At 41.7% G+C, this 25,874-nt stretch overlaps 1 protein-coding gene across 3 annotated transcripts in view; it reads left to right on the top strand.

Moving 5' to 3' along the window:
* BAZ1B (bromodomain adjacent to zinc finger domain 1B) overlaps positions 1-25,874 on the top strand; it is an 81,888-nt gene that overhangs the window by 48,905 nt on the left and 7,109 nt on the right. For 2 of the 3 annotated variants that reach the window (NM_032408.4, NM_001370402.1), the window contains exons 8-15: positions 2,906-3,044; positions 3,739-3,872; positions 6,988-7,093; positions 7,852-7,950; positions 10,290-10,467; positions 13,671-13,853; positions 22,395-22,542; positions 23,700-23,847. In NM_032408.4, coding sequence (NP_115784.1) covers positions 2,906-3,044; positions 3,739-3,872; positions 6,988-7,093; positions 7,852-7,950; positions 10,290-10,467; positions 13,671-13,853; positions 22,395-22,542; positions 23,700-23,847 — 1,135 coding nt within the window. Of the gene's footprint in view, positions 1-2,905; positions 3,045-3,738; positions 3,873-6,987; positions 7,094-7,851; positions 7,951-9,192; positions 9,270-10,289; positions 10,468-13,670; positions 13,854-22,394; positions 22,543-23,699; positions 23,848-25,874 lie in introns of those variants that run through there. The other variant, XM_047421016.1, reaches the window with a different exon arrangement.

Genomic DNA, 25,874 nt, shown 5'->3' with positions numbered 1-25,874 from the left:
TAGAGATGGGGATTCACCATGTTGGTTAGGCTGGTCCCAAAACTCTGACCTCAAATGAACTGCCTGCCTCAACTTGCCAAATTGCTGGGATTAAAGGCATGAGCCACCGCCCCTGGCCATTGTATTAACATTTTAAAGACATATGAACAGGCCAGGCTCGGTGGCTCACAGCCTGTAATCCTACACTTCGGGAGGCTGAGGCAGGCAGATCACGAGGTCAGGAGATCAAGACCATTCTGGCCAACACGGTGAAACCCTGTCTCTACTAAAAATACAAAAATTAGCCTGGCATGGTGGCGCATGCCTGTAATCCCAGCTACTCAGGATGCTGAGGCAGGAGAATTGCTTGAACCAGGGAGTCTGAGGTTGCAGTGAGCCAAGATCGGCCACCGTACTCCAGCCTGGGGGACAGAGCGAGACTCTTGTCTTTTTTAAAAAAAAAAAAAGATCAGCTGGGTGTGGTGGTGCCTGTAATTCCAGCTACTCGGCCTATAATTCCAGCTACTCGGGAAGCTGAGACAGGATAATCGCTTGAACCAGGGAGTTGGAGGTTGCAGAGAGCCGAGATCACACCACTGCACTCCAGCCTGATGATAGAGCGAGACTCCATCTCAAAATAAATAAATAAATAAATAAATAAATAAATTAGCTGGCTGTGGTGGCACACGCCTGTAATCCCAGCTACTTGGGAGGCTGCGGCAGGAGAATCGCTTGAACCTGGGAGGCAGAGGTTGCAGTGAGCCGAGATCATGCCGTTGCACTCCAGACTGGGTGACAGGGTGAGACTCCGTCTCAAAACAAAACAATACCTATCAAGAAAGTATAACTGCGGCCGGGCGCAGTGGCTCAACACCTACAATCCCAGCACTTGGGGAGGCTGAGGTGGGCGGATCACCTGAGGTTGGGAGTTCAAGACCAGCCTGACCAACATGAAGAAACCTTGTCTCTACTAAAAATACAAAATTAGCCGGGCGTGGTGACACATGCCTGTAATCCCAGCTACTCGGTAGACTGAGGCAGGAGAATCACTTGAACCCGGCAGGCGGAGGTTGCGGTGAGGCGAGATCATACCATTGCACTCCAGCCTGGACAACACGAGAGAAACTCTGTCTCAAAAAAAAGAAAAAAAAAAAAAGTATAACTGTGTTCCAGATGAAGCAGAATGTAGGTTAAAACCTTCAGCTCTATTTTATCTGAAACGTAATAATTTCTTCTTGCATTTTTGGACTGCTCCACTGTGTTTTATATTTATCTTAAGAGAAGGAAAAGAAGATGATACTCTGTTATTTGTATGGAAACAAGAGACAGAATATTAGTGTTTTACCAAGATCAGTATTTGGATTAGAGTTCAGGTCTTTGGATAACTAGTTCAGTGCTGTAACCTCTGAGACAGAATTTGGTCTTCCTTTGGTGACTTGTCCTAAGTTGGTTTATGTTTGTTTGTAGTCTTGGGAGACTGAACTTTTCCTTGATTGTAATTGGGCCATCACTCACTCTCTCGCTTTTTTTTTTTTTTAATCATTTACCTTTGTGCTATTTTCTACTATAACCATTGTTACAAATACACAGTTTCACTTGGGCTAGAAAACTGTTTATCAAAGGTAACAAATTCCATGTTTTAAATAAATGGAATTTATCTTAAGTTTTTAAAGTAACATCTTTAGACAGATGCATTTTCCAGATTTACATCTTATTGTAGATGTTATTGTCAATAGACAATCAGGGTTAAAAATTATTGGGGCTGAGTGCAGTGGCTCACATCTCTAATCCCAGCATTTTGAGAGGCCGAGGCAGGAGGATCGCTTGAGCCCAGAAGTTTGAGACCAGCTTGGGCAAACATAGTAAGACCCTATCTCTAAAAAAATAATAAACACTTCTTAAAAATTGTGACATTGTAAATAGCATTGCCATGTACCCTATGGTGTCAAGGTTTGTGACAATTATGGAAAAACTTAACAAAATTAGCGGGCTGCTTTTGTTGAGGGAAATTTCTAACTGAATAAACCTAATTAATGAATGATCAGAAATAAAATTTTTATCATTAACAGTAACTTGCAGAATAATTAGAAAAATAGGTGTTCAATGTAAAATAATTATTATCCACAAGTGCGTCCCTGCTGTTGCTTTTCAGGTTTGTTTTCTTGTCATCAGGGCTATTAAGCCAAATTACTGTCAGATTCCTCAGGACTGAAATATGTTTTATTTTGAAATAGTTATTTTACTAGTTTGATTTATCGTGATCTTTTTGAGGATCCTGTAGGTGCACCTGTCAGAAGATGTTTCAGTTAGTCCTATTTATGGACTGTTAACTGTTTCTTCAGGATTGTTTAAAATATATTAAGAAGTGATATTTTGGCTGGGTGTGGTGGCTCACGCCTATAATCCCAGCACTTTGAGGGGCCGAGACGGGTGGATCAGTTGAGGTCAGGAGTTCGAGACCAGCCTGGACAACATGGGGAAACCCCGTCTCTACTAAAAATGTAAAAATTAGCTGGACACGGTGGTGTGTGCCTGTAGTCCAGCGACACAGGAGGCTGAGGCGGGAGAATTGCTTGAACCCAGGAGGCAGAGGTTGCAGTGAGCCGAGATCGCACCACTGCACTCCACCCTGGGTGACAGAGCAAGACTCTGCCTCAAAACAAAAACAAAAAGAAGTGATATTTTGGAGATAAAAGATTTTGCATTGAGTTGAGGGATGAGATGTCACCACAAATTCAAGGAGTGTAGGAGGACTAGATGTTGCTGCCTTACATGTAATTTCTTGTAACAGATTAGAATTAGAGAAAGCAAACTAAGATTTGATAACTACTGTATACTAGGCACTTTTTACTCCATATTTTATTTAATTTGTAAGAGTGGGATTTACTAGGAAAATATCTGATTTGAGTCTTTTTATTTTTAACAGTGAAACTGGAACGCCAAGCTGAAGAAGAACGAATACGGAAGCACAAAGCAGCTGCTGAGAAAGCTTTCCAGGAAGGGATTGCCAAGGCCAAACTAGTCATGCGCAGGACTCCTATTGGCACAGATCGAAACCATAATAGGTCAGTTCCTAAACCAAATTTTTGTTTTCTTTAGGACTATTTACATTGCTATTAGTTAGGAAAATTTTCTAAAGTACAAGAATAGACAAGCTTCTCTCTTCAGTTTTCCAATTCTTTTTGGAAACAGAATTGTTGATGATTATTGAATATTAACTGCCAAATGCTAGAGTTGCAAAGTTAAGTAAGACATATTCCTGCCCTTGCATATACCACAAGTAGGAAGCTTACATGATGGTGATAGGTGAAATGTAATCCAAGTCTTTAAAAATGGCAGTAGGTTTTAAATACATACATTTTGTGAAACCTAAAGGAGAAATATTAGTAGTTACACAAATTAGGGCTGGGCGTGGTGGTTCACACCTGTAATCCTACACTTTGGGAGGCTGAGTCGAGAGGATTGCTTGAGGCCAGGAGTTCAAGACCAGCCCGGCCAACATAGCGAGACCCCATTTCAATTTAAAAAAGAAAGAAATTATACAAATTACGAACATTAAGCTAGTCTCCAGTTTCAACATTTCTCGTATACTTTGATTTACCTTGCAATTTTTATCTGTCTAGAGTTCTGAAGAGGAAGAATTCTGTAAACTGTGGTTTTGAATGCTCAGTGATACTCTGTATTATCTTCTCCAGCAGTAAAATCATCCTGCAATCCTGATCTATTCACTGTCTTATTAATACTGGTTGTGATTTGTAGATACTGGCTCTTCTCAGATGAAGTTCCAGGATTATTCATTGAAAAAGGCTGGGTACATGACAGCATTGACTACCGATTCAACCATCACTGCAAAGACCACACAGTCTCTGGTGATGAGGATTACTGTCCTCGCAGTGAGTATATCTGTATATCTAAGAGTTATTTCACCCTGCTCAAGTGGGCTCAACATTAAGGACTGCTTTTCCTCTGTCACGTTTTCCATTTGCAGAATTTCTTTATTGTGGTCTTAGATCTATTTGAGTGAAGTAGGTAGATGTGAAATGTGTAGAAAGAAGGAGAGAAACCCACGTTTGATTACCACCTTTGTTCTAAGCATAGTGTGAGAAGATGAAGAGCTTGAATATGAGGATATTTGGGTATTAGCTTTTATAGGAGCAGTTTTCAAACTTTGTCCCTTGGAAGCCTTTGTAGGTGCCTCAAGGGCTGAAATTGAGGTATGGGGTCTAAGAAGGGCAGTGTTAGATGTCCTCTTCTTCTTCTTCTTTTTTTTTTTTTTTTTGAGACGGAATTTCACTCTTGTTGCCCAGGCTGGAGAGCAATGGCGTGATCTCGGCTCACTGCAACCTCCACCTCCTGGGTTCAAACACTTCTCCTACTTCAGTCTCCCGAGTAGCTGGGACTACAGGTGTGTGCCACCACATCTGGCTAATTTTTGTATTTTTTGTAGGGACGGGGTTTCGCCATGTTGGCCAAGCTGGTCTCAAACTCCTGACCTCAGGTGATCTGCCCACCTCGGCCTCCCAAAGTGCTGGGGATTACAAGTGTGAGCCACTGCACCTGACCCTCTTCTTCTACTTTTAAAATTAATTTATTCAGTGTTTATGCTGAATCTCTATTTGTGAAGCAGTTTGTCATACGCTAGGGGTATAGCAGCAAACAAGACAGATAAGGTTCTTAAAATTCTTGTGAGGAGAAACATGGCAAATACCTAACGAAAAATGAGTGACTGAGAGGGGATCATGTAGGGACACTGGTAATATTCTTTCTCTTGATCTGGGTGCCGGGTATATGTGTTCAGTTTGTAAAAGAAACACACACTGAATAGTTTTCTGAATATATATCCATATTCTTTCTTAAAGTGTATGTATTGAGTATATTTCAAGAAAGAAATAAAACAAATTTTAATTAAAAAAATAAGATGGTTAGGTTAGGTCAGGTTTTCTCAACCTCAGTGTTACTGACATTTTGGGCTAGATGAATCTTTTTTTTTTTCCTCCCACCATGACACTGATGAGGAAGATAGTTTTTTGTACTGGGAGCTGTCCTGTGCATTATAGGTTATTCGGGAGCTCCCCTCTACCCACTAGGTGGTAGCAGTGAAAACCAAGTATGTCTCTAAATCCTGCCAGATACATGTGGCAGGCAGCAGTGCTCCCTTTCGAGAACCACTAGGTTAAATGATCCATAAGCTTCTTTCAGCTCTGCTGTCTGTAACCTAATGAAAATTGCTTATGTGTTGGTGTCATGTGGGAGATAAAGAAATAAAAGAAGTTGCTTCCTGAGTACTAGGTTATTGTGCTTCTTCGATAAATCTTTATTTTTTAAAAAGTAATTCATTTTAGAGAAATTCCTAACTCAAGCTTGAAACTCACAAAATTGTTAAATAAGAATAATACTGATTTACAAAAATAAACATTCCTTCAAATAAAACTTCAGATTTAAGGTGTTTGCATGTTGAATTATATCGAGCATAGATTATGTCACTTTATAGAAGAATCTGGTTTCGTTAGACTTCATAAATACTCAGGTGAGGGCAGTTAGGTTTGAGAGCAGTAACTGTGGAGCCTGGATGTTTAGATTTGGAAGAGATTCCAGTGGGATGAAGGAGTGTTACTTTATAATGTGTCCCCGAGACAAGATTGGGGAGCCAGACCCTTCACTTCTAGAGCATCCTGGTGGATGTTGTTTCGTGTTTTCCAGTTCTAGAATGGCAGTTTTTATTTAAAATTACCCAACTGAGGCTGGATGCAGTGGCTGATGCCTATAATCCCAGCACTTTGGGAGGCTGAGGCAGGCGGATCACTTGAGCTCAAGAGTTAAAAGACCAGCCTGGCCAACATGGCGAAACCCCGTCTCTACAAAAAACACAAAAATTAGCCGGGTGTGGTGGCGGGCACCTGTAATCCCAGCTACTTGGCAGGCTGAGGCAAGAGAATTGTTTAAGCCCAGGAGGCAGGGGTTGCAGTGAGCCAAGATTGCGCCACTGCACTGCAGCCTGGGTGACAGAGCAACATTCTGTCTCAAAAAATTAAAAAAAATAAATAAATTACCCAATTGAAAAGACTAAACAAAGTTATGTGTTAGTATTGCAGAGATGTTTCAGGTTAAAGTGGGGAGAATGGGAAAGAGAAGATAAACAATCATAGTATGAGGTAAGGCTTCAAATATTGTGGTGACTGGCCGGGCGTGGTAGCTCACACCTGTAATCCCAGCACTTGGGAGGCCAAGGCGGGCGGATCACCTGAGGTCAGGAGTTGGAGACCAGCCTGGCCAACATGGTGAAACCCCATCTCTACTAAAAATAGAAAAATTAGCCAGGTGTGTTGGTGTGTGCCTGTAATCCCAGCCACTCGGGAGTCTGAGGCAGGGAGAATTGCATGAACCTGGGAGGCAGAGGTTTCAGTGAGCTGAGATTGTACCACTGCACTCCAGCCTGGGCGACAGAGCGAGACTCTATCTCAAAAAACAAAACGAAACAAAACAAAAAACCAAATATTGTGATGATCTAAGATAGGCTTTGATAAATTGGCTCAAGATATATCTATGTTAAAGTCACGTATCAGTATATAGGAACTGATTTACAAAAAAGTTAGTTGTATTATTTGACACTTGAAGCCTCCAAGGATAAGTCTATAGTATTTATATGTTCTCATTACCTCTGCTTCACTACAGATGCCTTTGCTCTTAACATCATGTAAAAGGAGTAAATTCTTTATTTTGCTTTGATATAAAGATATTTAGTCATTCTTCATTCTAAGTTGCAGTACCCCTAAACTTTGGAACTGTGTAACGATTCCACTTCAGAGAGCAAATATCTGAGATAACATGCTGTGTTTAAGATATTTAAGAGAAATTAGCATCTTTTATACATGAAGATATATTTGATATATTTCACAGGAAGTATCTGTGTTGTTACAAATTGTTGAGTTTGGCACTGTGTACTGCTTAGATTTGAAACTAGCAATTGGGTATTTACTAAAGTCAACCTAATGTCTCAATTTTTCTTAGGTAAGAAAGCAAACTTAGGTAAAAATGCAAGCATGAACACACAACATGGAACAGCAACAGAAGTTGCTGTAGAGACAACCACACCCAAACAAGGACAGAACCTATGGTAATGTGAGCATTCATCTGGTTGCTCTTTCTTTTTCCTTTTAATTGTTAAGGAAGAAAGTATTTAGTATAGTGATGCCAGTGAGTTAATAATTATTTGCGCAGGATACTTTGTGTGACTGATATTTTGGATATCAAAACTTCTTGCATTAGCAGACCTGATTTTTTGTTAAGAAGATACTTGTTTTTTTAAGGGTTGGAATTTTGATTTTTTCCCCCCTGTAATATAACTTTGTATATTATGTGATAGATCTTATATAGCAGTAGAAATGTAGCTTAAATTTGGTTGGGAATAGAAGTATTTAAGATTTTCCTTAAATTTTATTAATTAACAAATTGTATGCATAGCTATTCGTTTCCTTTATGCGCATTTCTGCTTTTAGGCAGCGAGCTAGGTTTTAGAGGATCCATTCTACGGCTTTAACTGTGATCACCTGTGATTTAATGACCTTTCATTTTTGAATTTTGGGTATAGGTTTACTCTCTGGAGGGAAAGGGACAAGTATGCCAATTAACTTTATAAAATTTCATATAATATTTTAATAGGAACCATATTGGCTCTGGTGTCCTAGTACAGAATTAACATTAGGCATCATGAAAATAGTAAATTACTTATTCTACTTCTAGATAGTAGATTGTGAACACATTTGGAATTCTGTTCTCCCAAGTCCCACCACCAACTCTAGATCCCTTGCTTAGTGTTTGATTTTGAATTTTTTTTTTTTTTTCAGAGTTATCAGGTCTCTTTTGCCCCTACAGGTTTTTATGTGATAGTCAAAAGGAGCTGGATGAGTTGCTAAACTGTCTTCACCCTCAGGGAATAAGAGAAAGTCAACTTAAAGAGAGACTAGAGAAGAGGTAAGAGGTTTTCATCTTACTCCTCACATCTTACTTCTCTTTAGCATTGGATATAAATATCTGAGGGTTTTTTTTCTTATCCATTTAAGTTACTAAAGTAAAATATTTTAAATGTGTAACCGTTTTGTGTTCATATTGCCTGGTATTTTCTTGGCATATTATGCTTATTGGAAAAATATACCTTTGGCCATCTATATATAGAGTAGCAGGATTATTATGCACTAAAGAACAGTTGCCAGCACCAAGCTGTGAGCCTCATGGTTGTCAGACAGCTTTGCAGATGGAGGCCCAGATGGGTGGGTGTCCAGAAGTATTCTATCAATATTCAGAAGAGCCAAAAGGTGGAAACAACGGCAATGACTATCAACTGATGGAACGGATAAATAAAAGTTAGTATATATCCAGGCCTTGTGCGGTGGCTCACACCTGTAATCCCGGCACTTTGAGAGGTAAAGGCAGGCCAGTGTCTTGCATCCAGGAGTTTTGAGACCAGCCTGGGCAACATAGGGAAACTCCGTTTCTGAAAAAAAAAAACAAAACAAAAATTATCTTGGGTGTGGTGGTTTGTGTATGTAGTCTTAGCTACTTGGGAGGCTGAGCTGAGTTGATCACTTGAGCCCAGGAGGCGGAGGTTGCATTGAGCCAAGATCATGCCCCTGCACTCTGGCCTGGGTGAGAGAGCGAGATGCTGTCTCATACAAAATGAAACAAAAAACCCCCAAAATTTAGTATATTCAAATAGTGGAATATTATTTAGCCACAAAAAGAAATGAAGTACTGTTCTGTGCTACAACATGAATGAACCTAGAAAACATGCTAAGCAAAAGAAGTCAGACATCAAAGGCCATGTGGTGTATGATTCCATTCAAATGAAACATCTTAGAATAGGCAAATCTATTTCAAACAGAAAGTGGATTAGTGGTTGCCAGAGGATAGGGGAAGGGGAGAATAGGAGTGATGATTGCTAACAGGTAAGAGATTCCTGCTTGGGGTGATGAAAATGTTTTGGAATTACATGTGTGGTTCTACAACAAAAAACTGAAGTACATGCTTCAAGTTGGTGAATTTCATGTCATATGAATTAAAAAGAATCAAAAAACCCTGTTCTGTCTACAAAGTAGCATCAAATTTGCGACTGCCATATTTGTTGTAGACATTATTTCTATCAAAGCCAGGACAAGATTTTGGCTTAATGCCTCCTCTCATTGCTGACTCTGTGCTCAATTTCACGGTTGAATTTAGGTTTGATGGAAGAGAGAAGGAAAATATGATTCAGTACATACTCTACACCATTGCCAGACTTTTGCGAAGGACAATAGGTACATTATATTGATGTTAGCCCACTGCTTAATGTGTAAATTAAGTAAAACTGTATTCAGAATTGTGTTGTCTGAATACAGATGTGTCTAGGCAAATTAAGAAAGACAGAGGAGGGCCGGCCGCGGTGGCTCACGCCTGTAATCCCAGCATTTTGGGAGGCAGAGGCAGGCGGATCACAAGGTCAGGAGTTCGAGACCAGCCTGGCCAACATGGCAAAATCCTGTCTCTACTAAAAGTACAAAAATTAGCCAGGCATGGTGGCGGGTGCCTGTAGTCCCAGCTACTAGGTAGGCTGAGGCAGGAGAATTGCTTGAACCCGGGAGGTGGAGGTTGCAGTGAGCCAAGATCGCACCACTGCACTCCAGTCTGGGCAACAGAGCGACATTCCATCTCAAAAACAACAAAAAAAAAAAGACAAAGGAAAATGTCGGTATACAGAGCCACAAAGAAATATAGTTCTATGATGTTCCTTCTCTTTGGGCAGAGCATTTGATAGCTATGTGTGTTGAATTGAAAAGACCTGTTTTGTTCACTAAATATGAAGATCGAATCCTTCCATTAAAAGCTTAGAAGTGGCTGGGTGTGGTGGTGCACACCTGTAATCCTAGCAGTTTGGGAGGCCTAGGGGAGAGGATCGCTTGAATTGAAATCAGGAGTTTGAGACCAGCCTGGGCAACATAGCAAGACCCCATCCCTACAAAAAATTAAAAATATAGCCAGGTGTGGAGGGGTATTCCTGTAGTCCCAGCTGTAGGCTCAGGTTGGAGGATTGCATGAGTCCAGAAGTTTGAAGGTGCAGTGAGCTGTGATGGCACCTTTGCACTCCAGCCTGTGTGACAGAGCAAGACCCTGTCTCGGGGGAAAAAAAAAAAAAAAAAAGAAAAAAGAAAAAACACCAGGGAGAGGTGAAAGAGATCTAAGTAAGTTTTCTAGAAATAAAACATGTTAAGTAATTGAAATTTGAAGAACATCTTCAAAAGTTTGTTTCTTTCCCCATTCTCTTGTCCCAAATCTTCTAGGTACCAGGACATTATTCACTCTATTCATCTAGCACGGAAGCCAAATTTGGGTCTAAAATCTTGTGATGGCAACCAGGAGCTTTTAAACTTCCTTCGTAGTGATCTCATTGAAGTTGCAACAAGGTTACAAAAAGGAGGACTTGGATATGTGGAAGAAACATCAGAATTTGAAGCCCGGGTAGGAATATAAGAAAATCCCCCTTAGATTACTCATGGCAACTCAATCTGAAGTTCTTCCCTGGTGCTGTTCTTGACTTCCCAACATGACCCTCCTGGAAATCAGATGTTTGGATTTGTCTTGGAAGACATGTATGGAACCAAAAATACCTTATGTATATGTATTTTTTCCTTGTTATCTTTTGCTGCTATCCAGAAAAACTTAGTAATTGGCTTACAACCTTGGTATGAAAAGAGCTTCACTACTAAGGTGAATGAAAACTGGTTGTAGAGGCTCCAGTCGTATAGCATCATTTAACATCTTTACCTTGCGATGCCTGTGCTTTCAGGTGTGAAACATGCTTGCATATCCTGCACTTGCCCATTCTTCACACTCAGTCAGCTCAGATTTCTATTTATGTTGGGCATCACTCATGTTGTCCAGTGTGCTGTCATTACAGTCCTGTCCTTTATTGCTCAGAGGGACCCTTAAGTGGTATAGGTGAAACTTTTCAAAAGATCCCATACCCCGTAACAGGTAGGTTTAGGTATCAAAGATTGGTGAATAGTATCCATCAATTACTATTATAAACCGTTTTTTACTGATTTTAAATCAATAAGTCCACATAATTCTAGACATATTAATATTTGTGGGTCTTTTCAAATTCCTCATGCACTATGATGTTTTGTCTTTTTTTTCTTTTTAAAGAAATGAAGTCCCCTCTGTTACCCAGGCTGAAGTACAGTGGCACAGTCATTGCTCACTGCAGCCTCAAATTCCTGGGCTTAAGTGATTCTCCCATCTCAGGTTTCCAGGTAGCTGGGACTGCAGGTACAAGCAACCATGCCTGGCTGATTTTTAGAATTTTTTTGTAGAGACGGGGCATGTTGGCTCACGCCTATAATCCCAGCACTTTGGGAGGCTAAGGCAGGAGGATTGCTTGAGCCCAGCAGGTCGAGACCAGCCTGGGCAACATAGCAAGACCCTGTTTGACACACAAACACATGGAAAATTTTGTAGAGACAAAATCTCACTATGTTGCCCTGGCTGATCTCAAACTCCAGGCTTCATGAGATCCTCCTACCTCAGCCTCTCAAAATGCTAGGATTATAGGCATGAGCCACCTCACCCAGCCAACATATGTGCTCTTATAGTTTTGTGATTTTTATGAACAGTTTCATTTGCATTCCCCCATGCCATTTTTCCTAATTTATAAGTACTTTTCAACTATTTTAGCTTGTTTTTCTTTGCTATTGGAATAAGCAAATAATATGTGTATCTTACATATGCACATTTTTTCTTTTTAATTAATCTTGTGATGAATTCTTGGTACATTTCCTGGGGAAAAGGATTTAAACATCTTTATGGTTCTTAATGATTTTTTTAAAAAGAATTATTGAACCCAAAGGATCTTGCAGGTTTCAGATGTTACATGTTTACTTTTTTGTGTAGCAAATGTTCATTAATTGCCTACTTTGTGCCAAATTCAGGCCTATATCTTGCTGACGTTAGGTTGTCATTTTTCTTAGTTTTCTTTGTGACTATTAAAACGTTATCTTCTAATTGGCATGTCTTGTGTGATTGACAAGATAGTATTTAAGGACATTTTTTATTTCTTTTCTTTTTATTTTTAAATTAATTGATCTTTTAAGAGATAGGTCTTGTTCATGCGGGCGCGGTGGCTTACGCCTGTAATCCCAGCACTTTAGGAGGCCAAGGTGGGCAGATCACTTGAGGTTGGGAGTTCGAGACCAGTCTGACCAGCATAGAGAAACCCCGTCTCTACTAAAAATACAAAAATTAGCTGGGTATGGTGGCACATGCCTGTAATCCCAGCTACTCGGGAGGCTGAGGCAGAAGAATCGCTTAAACCCGGGAGGCGGAGGTTGCAGTGAGCTGAGATCGCGCCATTGCACTCCAGCCTGGACGACAAGAGCAAAACTCCGTCTCAAAAAACAACAACAACAAAAAACCAAAAAAAAAAAGAGAGAGATAGGTCTTGTTATATTGCCCAGTCTGAAGTGCAGTGGCTATTCACAGATCATAGCTGACAGCAGCCTCAAACTCCTTCTGCCTCAGTCTCCCAAGTAGCTGGGACTACTGGCATGTGCCACCACACCTGGCTGGGTGCATGATTTTGATGAAGTGATTTAACTTCTGTTTCCTCATCTATCAGGTAGATGTGAAGCTTAAAAAGAGATCAGTGAAGCAGGAGGATCGCTTCAGGCCAGGAGTTTGAGACCAGCCTGCGCAACATAGTGAGACCCTGTCTCTAAAAAGAATTTAAAAAATTAGCCAGGCGTGATGCCATGTACCTGTGGTCCCAGCTAATGGGGAGGCTGAGGCAGGAGGATCACTTGAGTCTGGGAGTTCAAGGCTGCAGTGAGTTGTGATTGCTGCACTTCTGCCTGGGTGACCCAGTGAGACCTATCTCTTTAAAAATAAAAAAAAGGAGATCAAGTTTGTAAAACATACTACCTTACATATAGTTAGTTACATGCTGGAAGCAAGTTAGAAATAAGAAAAAAATTAAAAAAACATTAAGATGGAAAGTCAGTGAATTTTTATTTTACTTTCTTAGTGTGTCTTTGCGTTAAAATTGTATTTTACACATAGTAGGCACTCAGTCATTATTGAATGAATCAACTATGTAACTCCTTTATGTGGGGGGGCTTCTGCCATTTAGTGGATCCCTTAGCTGGGAAAAGGGAAGTAGTCAAGTACTTTTTTTTTTTTTTTTTTTTTTTTTTCCCTGAGACGGAGTCTCGCTGTGTCACCCAGACTGGAGTACAGTAGCACGATCTTGGCTCACTGCAACCTCCTCCTCCCGGGTTCAAGTGATTCTCCTGCTTCCCGAGTAGCTGGGATTACAGGCACGTGCCACCACGCCTGGCTAATTTTTGTATTTTTAGTAGAGATGGGGTTTTGCCATGTTGGCCAAAGTGGTCTTGAACTCCTGACCTCAGGTGATTCGCCCGCCTTGGCCCCCCAAAATGCTGGGATTACAGGCGTGAGCCACTGCACCCGGCCAGTCAAGTACTTTTAAATGCATGAGCCATGCAGTGAACTGAGGAGCACAGTTAAATTAATGGTATGTGGCTCTCGATTTTGTTTAATGAATGTTATGTGGCATTTGAGTCTAGATTTATTTGAATTTGAGGTTGGATTCCTTTCGTCTTCCTCTGGGCCTTTTCTCAGTCTGGTTTTAAAATCCTTTCCTATAGGTCATTTCATTAGAGAAATTGAAGGATTTTGGTGAGTGTGTGATTGCCCTTCAGGCCAGTGTCATAAAGAAATTTCTCCAAGGCTTCATGGCTCCCAAGCAAAAGAGAAGAAAACTCCAAAGTGAAGATTCAGCAAAAACTGAGGAAGTGGATGAAGAGAAGAAAATGGTAGAGGAAGCAAAGGTATTTTGTTGTTATAAGTTGTAGTTTATGATTCCGTAGATGAGTTGATTTGGTTTTAAAATAATCTAACCCTATGCATTTTAGCTGCTATAGGCACTGTGCCCTGAGTGAGTGTTTTTGTGTGTGTGTGTGTTTTTTTTTTTTTTAATCACTTTCTACCCCTTCTGTGGTTTTCACACTGGCCTGTGGAGTGCAGCCCTGCTTCTTGGTCATTGGGTGATGGTCACAGTGGATGTGGCCTTCCCACCTTTACCAGAGTTTACTTTCTTTTTTTTGTTTTTTTTTTTTTGAGATGGAGTCTCGCTCTGTCACCAGGCTGGAGTGCAGTGGTGCAATCTCAGCTCACTACAACCTCCGCCTCCCAGGTTCAAGCGATTCTCCTGCCTCAGCCTCCCGAGTAGCTGGGACTACAGGTGCGTGCCACCACGCCCAGCTAATTTTTGTATTTTTTAGTAGAGACGGGGTTTCACCATGTTGGCCAGAGTGGTCTCGATCTCTTGACCTTGTGATCTACCCGCTTCGGCCTCCCAATGTGCTGGGATTACAGGCGTGAGCCACCACTCCTGGTCTACCAGTTTACTTTCTTTTTTAAAAAGGTGGTGGTGACTTTTAAACACATTAACAATTTGTTTATTTAATTTTTAGATACAGGGTTTTGCTCTTGTGTAAGCTGGTATGCGGTGATTTGCTTATAACTCACTGTAACCTTGAACTTCTGGCCTCAAGCTATCCTCCCACCTTGGCCTCTCAAAGTTTGATTGTAAGCGTGAGCCACTGCGCCCAGCCATGCTTGCTCTAGATATTTTTTAAATTTTGGTAAAAATATGCATAACATACAAATTTACTTTTTTTTTTTTTTTTGGAGAAAGAGTCCCACTCTTGCCTAGGCTGGAGTGTAGTGGCATAATCTCAGCTCACTGCAACCTCTACCTCCCAGGTTCAAGCAATTCCCCTGCCTCAGCCTCCCAAGTAGCTGGAATTGCAGGTGCATGCCACCATGCCTGGCTGATTTTTGTATTTTTTGTAGAGACGGGGTTTCACCATGTTGGCTAGGTTGGTCTCGAACTCCTGACTTCAGGTCATCTGCCCACCTCAGCCTCCCAAAGTACTAGGATTACAGGTGTGAACCACCACGTCCAGCCCAAATTTACCATTTTTATGTGTTCGATTCTGTGGCATTAAGTATATTCACGTTGTTTTGCAACCATCACCACCATCAGCCTTCAAAACTTTTTCATACACTTCTGACACCAAATACATGGGTTTTTACCACACTAAGCAACTCTCTAGTTCTCTGCTGATACCAACTACTCTTAAAATTCAGTTTAATTCTGACTCTTTCTACTTGGAGTTTGTGTCAGATCCTGCAAGTTAAAGTGCTCTGTCCCACGAGACTATTCTCACTTCAGATGCCAGTCGCAAGCCCCACGTTGCCACCTGTACCATCTATACATTGAGGATTCTCATGACCCTCTCCTTAAGTATGATAATTTGCTAGAATGCCTGACAGAACCCGGGAAAGCATTTTACTTAGGTTAACCGGGTCATTTTGAAGGATACTACTCAGGAACAGCCAGATGGATGAGACGTGTGGAACAAGGAAGGTGGCGGAGCAGGGGTACGTGGGGCTTTCACGTGTTCTCTGAACACTCCTTCCTTCCAGCTTCTGAGTGTGTTACCTGAAGCTGATCAGATCTTGTTCCAGTATCTTCGTAGAGCTTAATCTCCGAAGTCTCCCCTCCTCTTGCCTTTCAGGAGCTTGTGGGTAGGGCTGAACATTCCAGTCTTCTAATCATCTGGTCTTTCTGGTGGCCAGCCCCATAACTAGAGGTCTCACCGAAAGCCTCATTAGCATAAATTTAGGTGTGATCCAAAGGGGCTCCTCTGAATAACAAAAGACACTCCTATTAAGGTTTTAGTCTGCGGAGAAGGACCAAATATATTTATTATATCATGTCTCTATGTACCACATTTTGTTGATCCACTCACTTGGGTTGCTTCCGTCTTTTGGCTATTGGGAATAATGTTGCTGTGAACATGAATGTACAAATGAGTCCCGGCCGGGCGTGGTGGCTCACGCCTGTAATTTCAGCACTTTGGGAGGCTGAGGTGGGCAGATCACCTGAGGTCAGGAGTTTGAGACCAGCCTGGCCAACATGGTGACACCTCATCTCTACTAAAAATACAAAAATTAGCCAGGCGTGGTGGCGCACACCTGTATTCTCAGCTACTAGGGAGGCTGAGGCAGGAGAATTGCTTGAACTCAGGAGGCTGATGCTACAGTGAGCAGAGATGGAGCCACTGCACTCTACCCTGGGCAACAGAGCAAAACTCCATCTCAAAAAAACAAGAAAAACAACCAAAAAAGCCAAATATTTGAGTCCCTGCTTCTAATTTTTTTTCAGTGTATACCCAGTAGTGGGATTGCTGCATCATATGGTAATTCAGTGTTTAACTTTTTGAGGAACCACTCTATGGTTTCCTATAGTGACTGTACAATTTTACATTCTCTCCAGCAACTCATGAGGGTTCTGGTTTTTCCACATTCTCGCCAATACTTTTTTTTTTTTTTTTTTTTTTTTTTTTTTTTTTTTTTTTGAGACAGAGTCTCTGTCGCCGAGGCCGGAGTACAGTGGTGTGATCTTGGCTCACTGCAAACTCCCCTGGGTTCAAGCGATTCTCCTGCCTCAGCTTCCCAAGTAGCTGAGACTATAGGCGTGCACCACCACTCCTGGCTAATTTTTTTTTGTAGTTTTAGTAGAGACGTGGTTTCACCATGTTGGCCAGACTGGTCTCAAACTCCTGACCTCAGGTGGTCCGCCGGCCATGGCCTCCCAGAGTGCTGGCATTATAGGCCTCAGCCACCACGCCCAGCCTTTGCCAATACTAATGTCCTGTTTCTTTAATAGTATCCATCCTAATGGATATGAAGTTGTATCTCATTGTGGTTTTGATTTGTTTTTCTCTAATGATTTATGATGTTGAGCATCTTTTCATGTGCTTATTGTCCATTTGTCTACCTTATTTGGAGAAATATATATTCAAGTCCTTTGCCCATTTTTCAATTGGATTTTTTGTTGTTGAGTTGTAGGAGTTCTTTATATGTCCTTGATAATAACCCTTTTTCAGATGCATGATTTGCAAATATATTCTCCAGTTCCATGGGTAGCCTTTTCATTCTGTTGATAGTGTCCTTTGCATACAAGCATTTCATTTGCATGGAGTCTAACTTAACCTATTTTTTTCCATTGTTGCCTCCACTTTTGGTGTCATGTCCAAGAAATCATTGCCAGATTCAGTGTCATGAACGTTTCTTTCTCTTGTATTTTTCTAGATATTTTATAGTTTAACTTTTACATTTAGGTCTTTGATCATTTGAGTTAATTTTTGTCAGTGGTAGAAGGTAAGGCTTCAGCTTCATTTTTTTCATATTAGATACCCAGTTTCCTCACTTTTTATTTTTAAATGTAGCATGCTTTATTATTGTAAGTAAATAAAATGAGAGGTAAGTAAAATATATAACTCCCACCCTAGTTTCACTGCCCAAGGATGTCACTTTTTTAATAGTTTGGTGTCCTTTTTATGTATATACAAAGATTTGTTGGATTTATTAAAAGTGGAAACTTATACTGTGCACAACAGTCTTCAGTTTCTCACTTACCAGTATATTCTAAACATCTGTCCCCTCCGTCCCGTTAGTCCACACAGATCTACCTGATGTCATATTTGCTCTTTTCTGATTTTATTGCGTTTCTTTAGAAACGGGTCTCTACTGTCCATGCTGGAGTGCAGTGGTGCAGTCATGGCTCGCTGCAGCCTCAAACTCCTGGGCTCAGGCAATCCTCCCACCTTAGCCTGCCCTGAGTACCTGGGATTATAGGCGAGTGTCACCATGCCCAGCTAATTTTTAAATTTTTTATAGAGACGGGGCCTTGCTGTGTTGGCCGGCTGGTCTTGAACTCCTGGGCTGAAGTGATCCACCCACCCTGGCCTCCCAAAGTGCTGAGATTACAGGCATGAGCCACCTCGCCCAGCCACATTTGGTCTTTTAATTTTGTATTACTTATTAATAAATATGAAACTTAATAGAATAACTAGCAGCTCCATTTTTGTCTGTTTTGCGTATTAGATTTCTGCTTAAGATTACTTGTGAAGAAAAGAATTTGAGAACATTACATTATGGGAGAGGTCCTAACCATTATTTAGTGCAGAATATTGTCCCTAATTTTAGATTTGCCTCTCCCTGCCTTCTTTCCTTTTTTTTCACAAAGATCTGGTAAAGCCCTGCTTGTGCCAGTCGCTAGTAAGTTTGGAGGTTTTATAGAGATGAGTAAAAAAGCCTTAAGTTCAGGACCAGGTGCGGTGGCTCACGCCTGTAATCCCAGCACTTTGGGAGGCTGAGGCTAGCGGATCTTGAGGTCAGGAGTTCGAGACCAGCCTGGCCAACATGGTGAAAACCGGTCTCTTCTAAAAAAAAAAAGAAAAAATGCACACACACACACACACACCCCGAGTGTGGTGGTGTGGTGGCGCGAGCCTGTAGTCCCAGCTACTCAGGAGGCTGAGGCATGAGAATCACTTGAGCCCGGGAGGTAGAGGTTGCAGTGAGCCGAGATCGCACCAGTGCACTCCAGCCTGGCAACAGAGCGAGACTCCGTCTCAAAAAAAAAAAGCCTTAAGTTCTTGCCTTCGGGGAACTCAATTTGAGTGTGAGAGACCGGCAGGGGACGCTTACTGTGGTGTGACCAGTAATGATGAGAAACAGCAGTACTCAGGCTCACTGTGAGGGATACCCAGGGCACACTAGAGAAAACTTACCAGAGGGAAGAGAGGATGGGTTTTGAAGAATGTGTAGGAGTGGATCAGGTCATGGGAGGGGCAGCATAGGCCTGTTCAGATTGAACTGAAATTGGGCTCTTTGTCACTGACAGCTGGTTCTTGTTTGTCCTCCCCATTTACATAGAGTGAGTCTGCTGTCCTTTCCAAAGCTTATCAAATGTTTATACATAGTTGTCATGTTCCCCCTACATTTCTTCCTGAGGCCGAGGATGATATGTGATATGGGGGAGATAATTTTGGATAAGAGGTAAGCAGGGTGGAGAAAGAAAATTCAGTTTAGATAAAGATTTAATTCATGACTTAAGCTGAGACACTTACTATGTGGTGTGTCATTATCTTGCTGGGATTTAGTTTTCACCTTCCTGTGTTTCTTTTATTTTTAAAAATGTCTTTACTTTTTGGGATGGGGTCTCACTGTGTTGCCCAGGCTCTCTGCAGCCTCAGACTCCAGGCTTGTGATCTCCCACCTCACTTTCCCGAGTAGCTGGAACTACAGGTGCCTGCTACCATTCCTGGCTAATTTTTAAATTTTTATTTATTTATTTATTTATTTATTTATTTATAGAGAAGGGGTTTCCCTACATTGCCCAGGCTGATCTTGAACTCCTGGGCTCCAGTGCTCCTCCCATCTTGGCCTCCAAAAGTGCTGGGATTATAGGCGTGAGCCACCATGCCCAGCCTATGCTTATTTTATTTTATTTGTGAATGAATGAATGAATAACAGGGTCTCACTCTGTCACTCAGGCTGGTGGGTGCAGTGGTGTGATCTTGGCTCACTACAGCCTCAAACTCTTGGGCTCAGGTGTCCTTCTACTTCAGCCTCCCAAGTAACTGGGACCACAGGCATGTGCCACCATACCCGGCTTTTTCTGTATTTTTCTGTAGAGGCAAGGTTTCACCATGTTGCTGGTCTTGAACTCCTGGGCTCAAGTGATCCACCTGCCTTGGCCTCCCAGAGTGCTAGGATTACAGGCAGGAGCCACCGCATCTGGCCCTGTGTTCCTTTTAAATGACTGTGTATAGCACCTAGGTAACCTTTTAGATGTCTAAGATATTAAACAGTTAACTAGTCTCCTTAGCTAAATCTCTTCTCATTAGGCTTAAGTTTTAGTCTTACTACTACATAGGTTTTGTTTTTAACTCAAGTTCAATACAGAAGAGTCTCTTTCTTGATGTGATCTGTCCAAGAGTCACGTCTGTCCTTTCCATTTCTTTTCCTGCAACAGTGCTTCCTTCTCATTGAGAACTCACCCATCACTGTAGGGTTCTCATTAACTTCTGAAGTACTGTGTTCCACAGTGAAGTAAACTCATTTTAGTTTGTCAGATGAGACTTGTTCTTAGCTTAGTTGGGGAGGAAAATGTGAGAAGTTTGCAGGTCCAGACACAGTACATAAATGGAAAGCATGGAAGAGTTTCTTGGAAAATCAACTAGGTTGCCTACTAAGTAGTTCAGCAGTGTTCTGCATTAAAATGGCATTATGCCTCGTGGTTCCCCACCAGAGGTCAACTCAGCCACAGCTTTGAAATTTTCCACTGCTCTTTGCTTTGAAGGTTTCCACTTAGCAAGGGCCAAAGTTTTTTCAACTGGCACTAGGCTGTTGCATGAGCTTTTATCAGTCTCTAATCTAGGATTCAGCTTCCTTATTTATAAAAATGGATTGTCTCTCAAATCTCTTTTTGTAATAGTGGTTGATTTCGGTTTTTAATGCTTATTTTGTTTTATTGAATTAAATAGAAAAGACTGATATATTGTTTGGCAAAATCCTGGGTTTTGTTTGATTGTTTACTTTGGTGGCGTTTGTCCGGACATCCTGATTACAGATGCTCCTGAATTTAGGATGGGGCTATGTCCCAATAAACCCATTGTTTGACTTACAGTATTTATAATTTATGATGGTTTTATCTGGGTTTAACCCTATCATAAGTCGAGGAGCCTGCTGAATGTGTATCACTTTTTTTTTTTTTTTTTTCTCGAGATGAAGTCTTGCTCTGTCACCCAGGCTGGAGTGCAGTGGTGCAATCTCGGCTCACTGCAGCCTCCGCCTCCCGGGTTCAAGCAATTCTCCTGCCTCAGTCTCCCGAGTAGCTGGGACTACAGGCACACATCACCACACCCGCCTAATTTTTGTATTTTTAGTAGAGACCAGGTTTCACCATATTGGCCAGGCTGGTCTCGAACTCCTGACTTTGTGATCCGCCCGCCTCGGCCTCCCAAAGTGCTGGGATTATAGGTGTGAGCCACCACGCCCGGCCGAACGTGTATCACTTTTGCACCATTGTGAAGTCATAGGTTTGACCCATCGTAAGATGGGGTGATTCTGAATAACCAAAATACGGAAGCAGCCCAGGTAACTGTCAGCTGATGAATGGATAAACAGCATGTGCAATGTCTATTCAATGAGATATTGTTCAGCAGTAAAACTGATGAAAGTACTGTTACATGCTTTGCGAATGAACCTAGAAACATGCTCAGTGAAAGAAGCCAGTTACAAGGGCTACCTATTATTGTATGATACTATTTAAAATCTGTTTTTTAAAAAAACGAGGTTAAATAAGCCTATTCCCAAAACACCTTCAAATTTAAAAAAAGTTTTAATGAGGTCAGATGAGCTATTGGATGCTCAGATTTTATAATTCATAGGAAATAGTAAAAAGCAGGACTGCCCATGACTGTTTTCTTCCATACTGTGTGCACTACATGTGAATGTCCACTAGAGGACAGCAAAGCCCATTGGTAGTCATTCCCTGCCAGTTCTCAAGCACTTTTAAAGAACCGAACCTGAAATTCTTACATTGATATTCCATTGAAAAGATTTGGGTTATCCTCTCAAGAAGAGAATCTGCAGTAGTGTCTGTCAGCTCTCTTTTTATCAGGGGAGAAGACAGCAAGGCAGCTGTGATTGTGGACCTCAGTTTACTGAGGAGCTCTGCAAAAGTAAGGAAGGAGATTGCTGTTTTTCAAAGCAGATGTTGAAATATCTACAACAGAGTCAGTCAGTTTCCAGTTGAACTTTAGCAGCTTCTTAAATGTAGATTTTTGTATGTGTGTTTATATTACTTATCCTTGTTATTCATAAATTTATACACACAAGGCTCCCTGTGATTCTCTGTTTCTATAGGAAAGAGAAAAAGCAGCCCTGTTCCCCTCATCCCTCTCCCCAGTCTGTTTAGTACCCCACTTCGGAACAGAATCAACTATCTTTGTTCCTTGGCACCTGTATTTTAAAGCCCATGACCTTCCAGGATAACTGGCTGTTTTCCTTTAGGAGATTCATTACTTCACAAGGACTTCTTTGCTTCGGGCAGGGCATTGAAATCCAGCTGTGGTATTGGATTGGTGGTGTTGTGGTAGGTTATTGATTATCTTTTAAATCGGAGTTTTATTAGCTGTCTAAAATTGTTGCATTATAGCATTTACAGCATACAGGTGATCCTATTTTTAAATTATACTGAGTTGTTAGGTGGATTTCCCTAGAAGATGCTTGTCCCCAGTCATCCACCCACTCCACTGCATCTCTGTGTGACCTTTGGCAAGTTTTTTTCCCCCTTTGGAGCCTTTTATAAGAATAAATGGTTTAGATTAGTGAAGTTCTAGGAGGCAAGTGTCCTCAGAATTCTCTCATACTGTCCCCTGTTCCTAGTTCTCTCTCAGTGTCTTTGGTCAGTGTAGTAATGCTGGCCTGGTTTGGTCTCTGTTTAGGTTGCATCTGCACTGGAGAAATGGAAGACAGCAATCCGGGAAGCTCAGACTTTCTCCAGGATGCACGTGCTGCTTGGGATGCTTGATGCCTGTATCAAGTGGGATATGTCCGCAGAAAATGCTAGGTGCAAAGTTTGTCGAAAGAAAGGTATATTTAAATCAAATTTGCTTATGTGGGTATATTAGGGAGTAGGATTTCTATTCCCAAGATCTTCATTTCTACCCAAAAGAATTTTGTGTACACAGAATATAAGTGTGGTATAGATTTTACTCTCCTGCAGGTCTGTAACATGCCAGTCTTTGAAATGTCGTGCCAGGGAATCAGAGCAGGCCCTTTGTTCCTCGGTTTAGAGCATAACATAAAAGCAATTGATCTCTTCAATCTTCTGATTTTTTACAGAAAACAAAATTAGTTAATCCTTGTAACTATTTTAGTTAGTTTAGTTTTAAATCCTTTGATTGGCTCAGAACTTTAGTCATCTGTGAAGTAAGATATGTGCTTTCAGCAGGAGGCAGTCCGGGTACAGAGGGTGGCATGCAGTCTCATATGTGCAAAAGGAACTTCATGGTTAGAAGCCCCTTGCTGATTGGCTTTTCAGTGGCTAGAGTTATTTTCTGAGTTAGGTTAGAGATGAAAAGATCTACGTAAAATCATTCAGTTGCTGTAAAGCGTTCAATCGCTCTAGAATGAAGGTTGGAAGGAGAGATTACCATATTAAGTTGACTCAGCACAACACTTTTTCAAATGTAAGAAACCACATGGTTTAAGGGAACCCATCAGGGGCCGGGCGCGGTGGCTCACGCCTGTAATCCCAGCACTTTGGGAGGCTGAAGCAGGAGAATCACTTGAACCCGGGAGGCGGAGGTTGCAGTGAGCCGAGATCGCGCCACTGCACTCCAGCCTGGGTGACAGAGCAAGACTCTGTCTCCAAAAAAAAAAAAGAGAGAGAGAGAACACTCATCAGGCATAAGTTGAGAAACGTTTGGGGAGGTCGAAAAAGCAGCAAAATTTCCTACTCTCACTTGGGTTTTTTGTGCCTCTTAGTAATTGTTAACTGTTCTGTCATAGCCATGGGTAAGTTTTGGGATATAAATTAGGAGACCTGATTCCCAAATTATCTGTAATCTAAGTTATGCTTCATTTCTTTTTAGAAAATGCCTGCATTTACAAAGCAACAACTGGGTAGCATTCTATGGAACATGTCTCCTCGTGTGCCTTGAATTGTAGGGTGATTGCCTCTTCCTTACAGCTCATTGACTGCTGCTGTGCTCCCAACAATGCTATTCACATTTATCTCTCTGCAGGTGAGGATGACAAATTGATCTTGTGTGATGAGTGTAATAAAGCCTTCCACCTGTTTTGTCTGAGGCCGGCCCTCTATGAAGTACCAGATGGTGAGTGGCAGTGCCCAGCTTGCCAGCCCGCTACTGCCAGGCGCAACTCCCGTGGCAGGTGAGAATCTTTTCTTTTAAAAATAATTGAATGAATAAATATGAATAGCTGTTATAATTAAGCTTGAGTTATTCAAACAGAATGAATCTAAGGAGCTTTAAGTTCATCTTTTGGGTACAGAGCCTGATCATTTACAGTACTTCAATAGGAGCTCAAAGGACTCTGAGCTAATTTTAGCTGAATGTTGACATTTCTAGTTTTCACTGCCAGCCACATTCTCTGTCTTCTTGATCATACCTTCTTCTCAAGTAATGAAATCTCTCTCTCTGCCTTTAGCCTCCTGTTGCCCACTTCCTGTGTCTTCATGATTACTTCTGCTATCACCCACTGCTAAAAATCTCACACTCATTACCTTCCTTACCGATACATAATGTTTTCTTCCCTATCATGAGTAGAACTTGGGTGTCAACTTGGAAATGAACATCTCTCCCTCATCCTACAAACCCATTAATTTGCCATGATATCAATCCAATGCCCAGATGTTTGATGATCCAGTTTCTTGCTCTCCATTCTCCGTGGTCTCCGCTATCATTTGTCCCTTCTACATCTGTCACCTGGGCTCCTTTGGTGGCTTCTCAACTCCTCTTTCTTATATCACGTCTTCTCCCCTCTTATCCACCCAACTATTGCAACACCAGAATGCTGTACACAAAGCAAAGATCTGCTCACATTCCTGATCACAAACTTCTAGTCTTCCCATTGCCTCTAGAATAACATCCCAATTCCTGGCCTCACTTCTGAGACTCTTACACAATACCAGCTTGGGTTTTTATTAGCTTTAGATCCCATATTTGTGTACTTGTTACAGACCGTTTGTTGTTCATCCTTGCCTCTTGTGCCTTTCTCCCAGCTGGGAACATTCTCTGCCCAGAATTCCCAGTGGGTAAACTGCCCATGGCTTCGCTAAAATTTCACTGCGCTTTTGAAAAGTGCTTGCATCCTTAGGCTTCATGGTTTCTCCTCTGTGTTCAGCTGAACCTCCATTCTCTGAAGTAGTATTTTGGTGCATGGATCTTGTCTCTGGTTTTATACATGTCTGTCTCCCATGAGATTATGAATGCCCTGAGAGTAGAGGTGGTGCTTTGTTTTTTTACTTGAATCTCAATAAGGCCAAATACCGGGCCTTGTAAAGAGGAGACACCTTGTACTTGCCAAGATAATACTGTTGTTTTCCACACTGAAATTTGGGGTTGTAAAATGTGCAGCTTATAGGTACTCTGGCTTGGGCTTCTTTTTTGAGACGGAGTTTCGCTCTTGTTGCCCAGGCTGGAGTACGATGGCGCGATCTCGGCTCACTGTAACTTCCACCTCCCAGGTTCAAGCGATTCTGCTGCCTCAGCCTCCCGAGTAGCTAGGACTACAAGCATGCGCCACCACACCCAGCTCATTTTGTATTTTTAGTAGAGATGGGGTTTCTCCATGTTGGTCAGGCTAGTCTCGAACTCCCGACCTTAGGTGATCCGCCTGCCTCAGCCTCCCAAAGTGCTGGGATTACAGGCGTGAGCCACGGTGCCCGGCCTGGGCTTCCTTCTAAGGGGCAGAGCTGTTTGATCCTGACCCCACCTTAACAGTATTAGCAGGTTCTTTTGCACTCCATCCCAGCTGCACTTAGAGATGAGACATGTTGCTCTGAAATGGTGGGGCTTTGGACCAGCTGTTCCGAGCTGGGATTACCACTGCTTTGATATTATGGTCATCTGCAAGCTGTTTCAGCTCCTGGAAGGGGGCCATCAAGGTGAAGTCACACCTGTCTGGGCTCTGTTTATTCTTTTCAGTCTACCTCAGAGGTGGGGACAGCTTTTAGTAACTGATGTATTACATTATCTGGCTCTTTTTGTGAGACAAAAGAAACAGTGTTTTGTATTGCTTTGTGTGGGGAAGGGTAGGATTGCATTTTGGTCTTAATTTCTGTTGCCTTTGGTATCTTGTCCAAACTGTCTGTGGCCTGGCAGAAGGAGGCATGAGGCATGCTGTTGAAACTTGGTTTTTCATTTTTATGAAAAACTCTCCTGGCTTACATTCAGGTT

Source organism: Homo sapiens, chromosome 7, assembly GCF_000001405.40.
Source record: "Homo sapiens chromosome 7, GRCh38.p14 Primary Assembly".
In the NCBI taxonomy this organism is placed as follows: Eukaryota; Metazoa; Chordata; class Mammalia; order Primates; family Hominidae; genus Homo; species Homo sapiens.
Note: the sequence above shows the minus strand (reverse complement) of the source record. Positions and strands in the feature narration are given on the sequence as shown.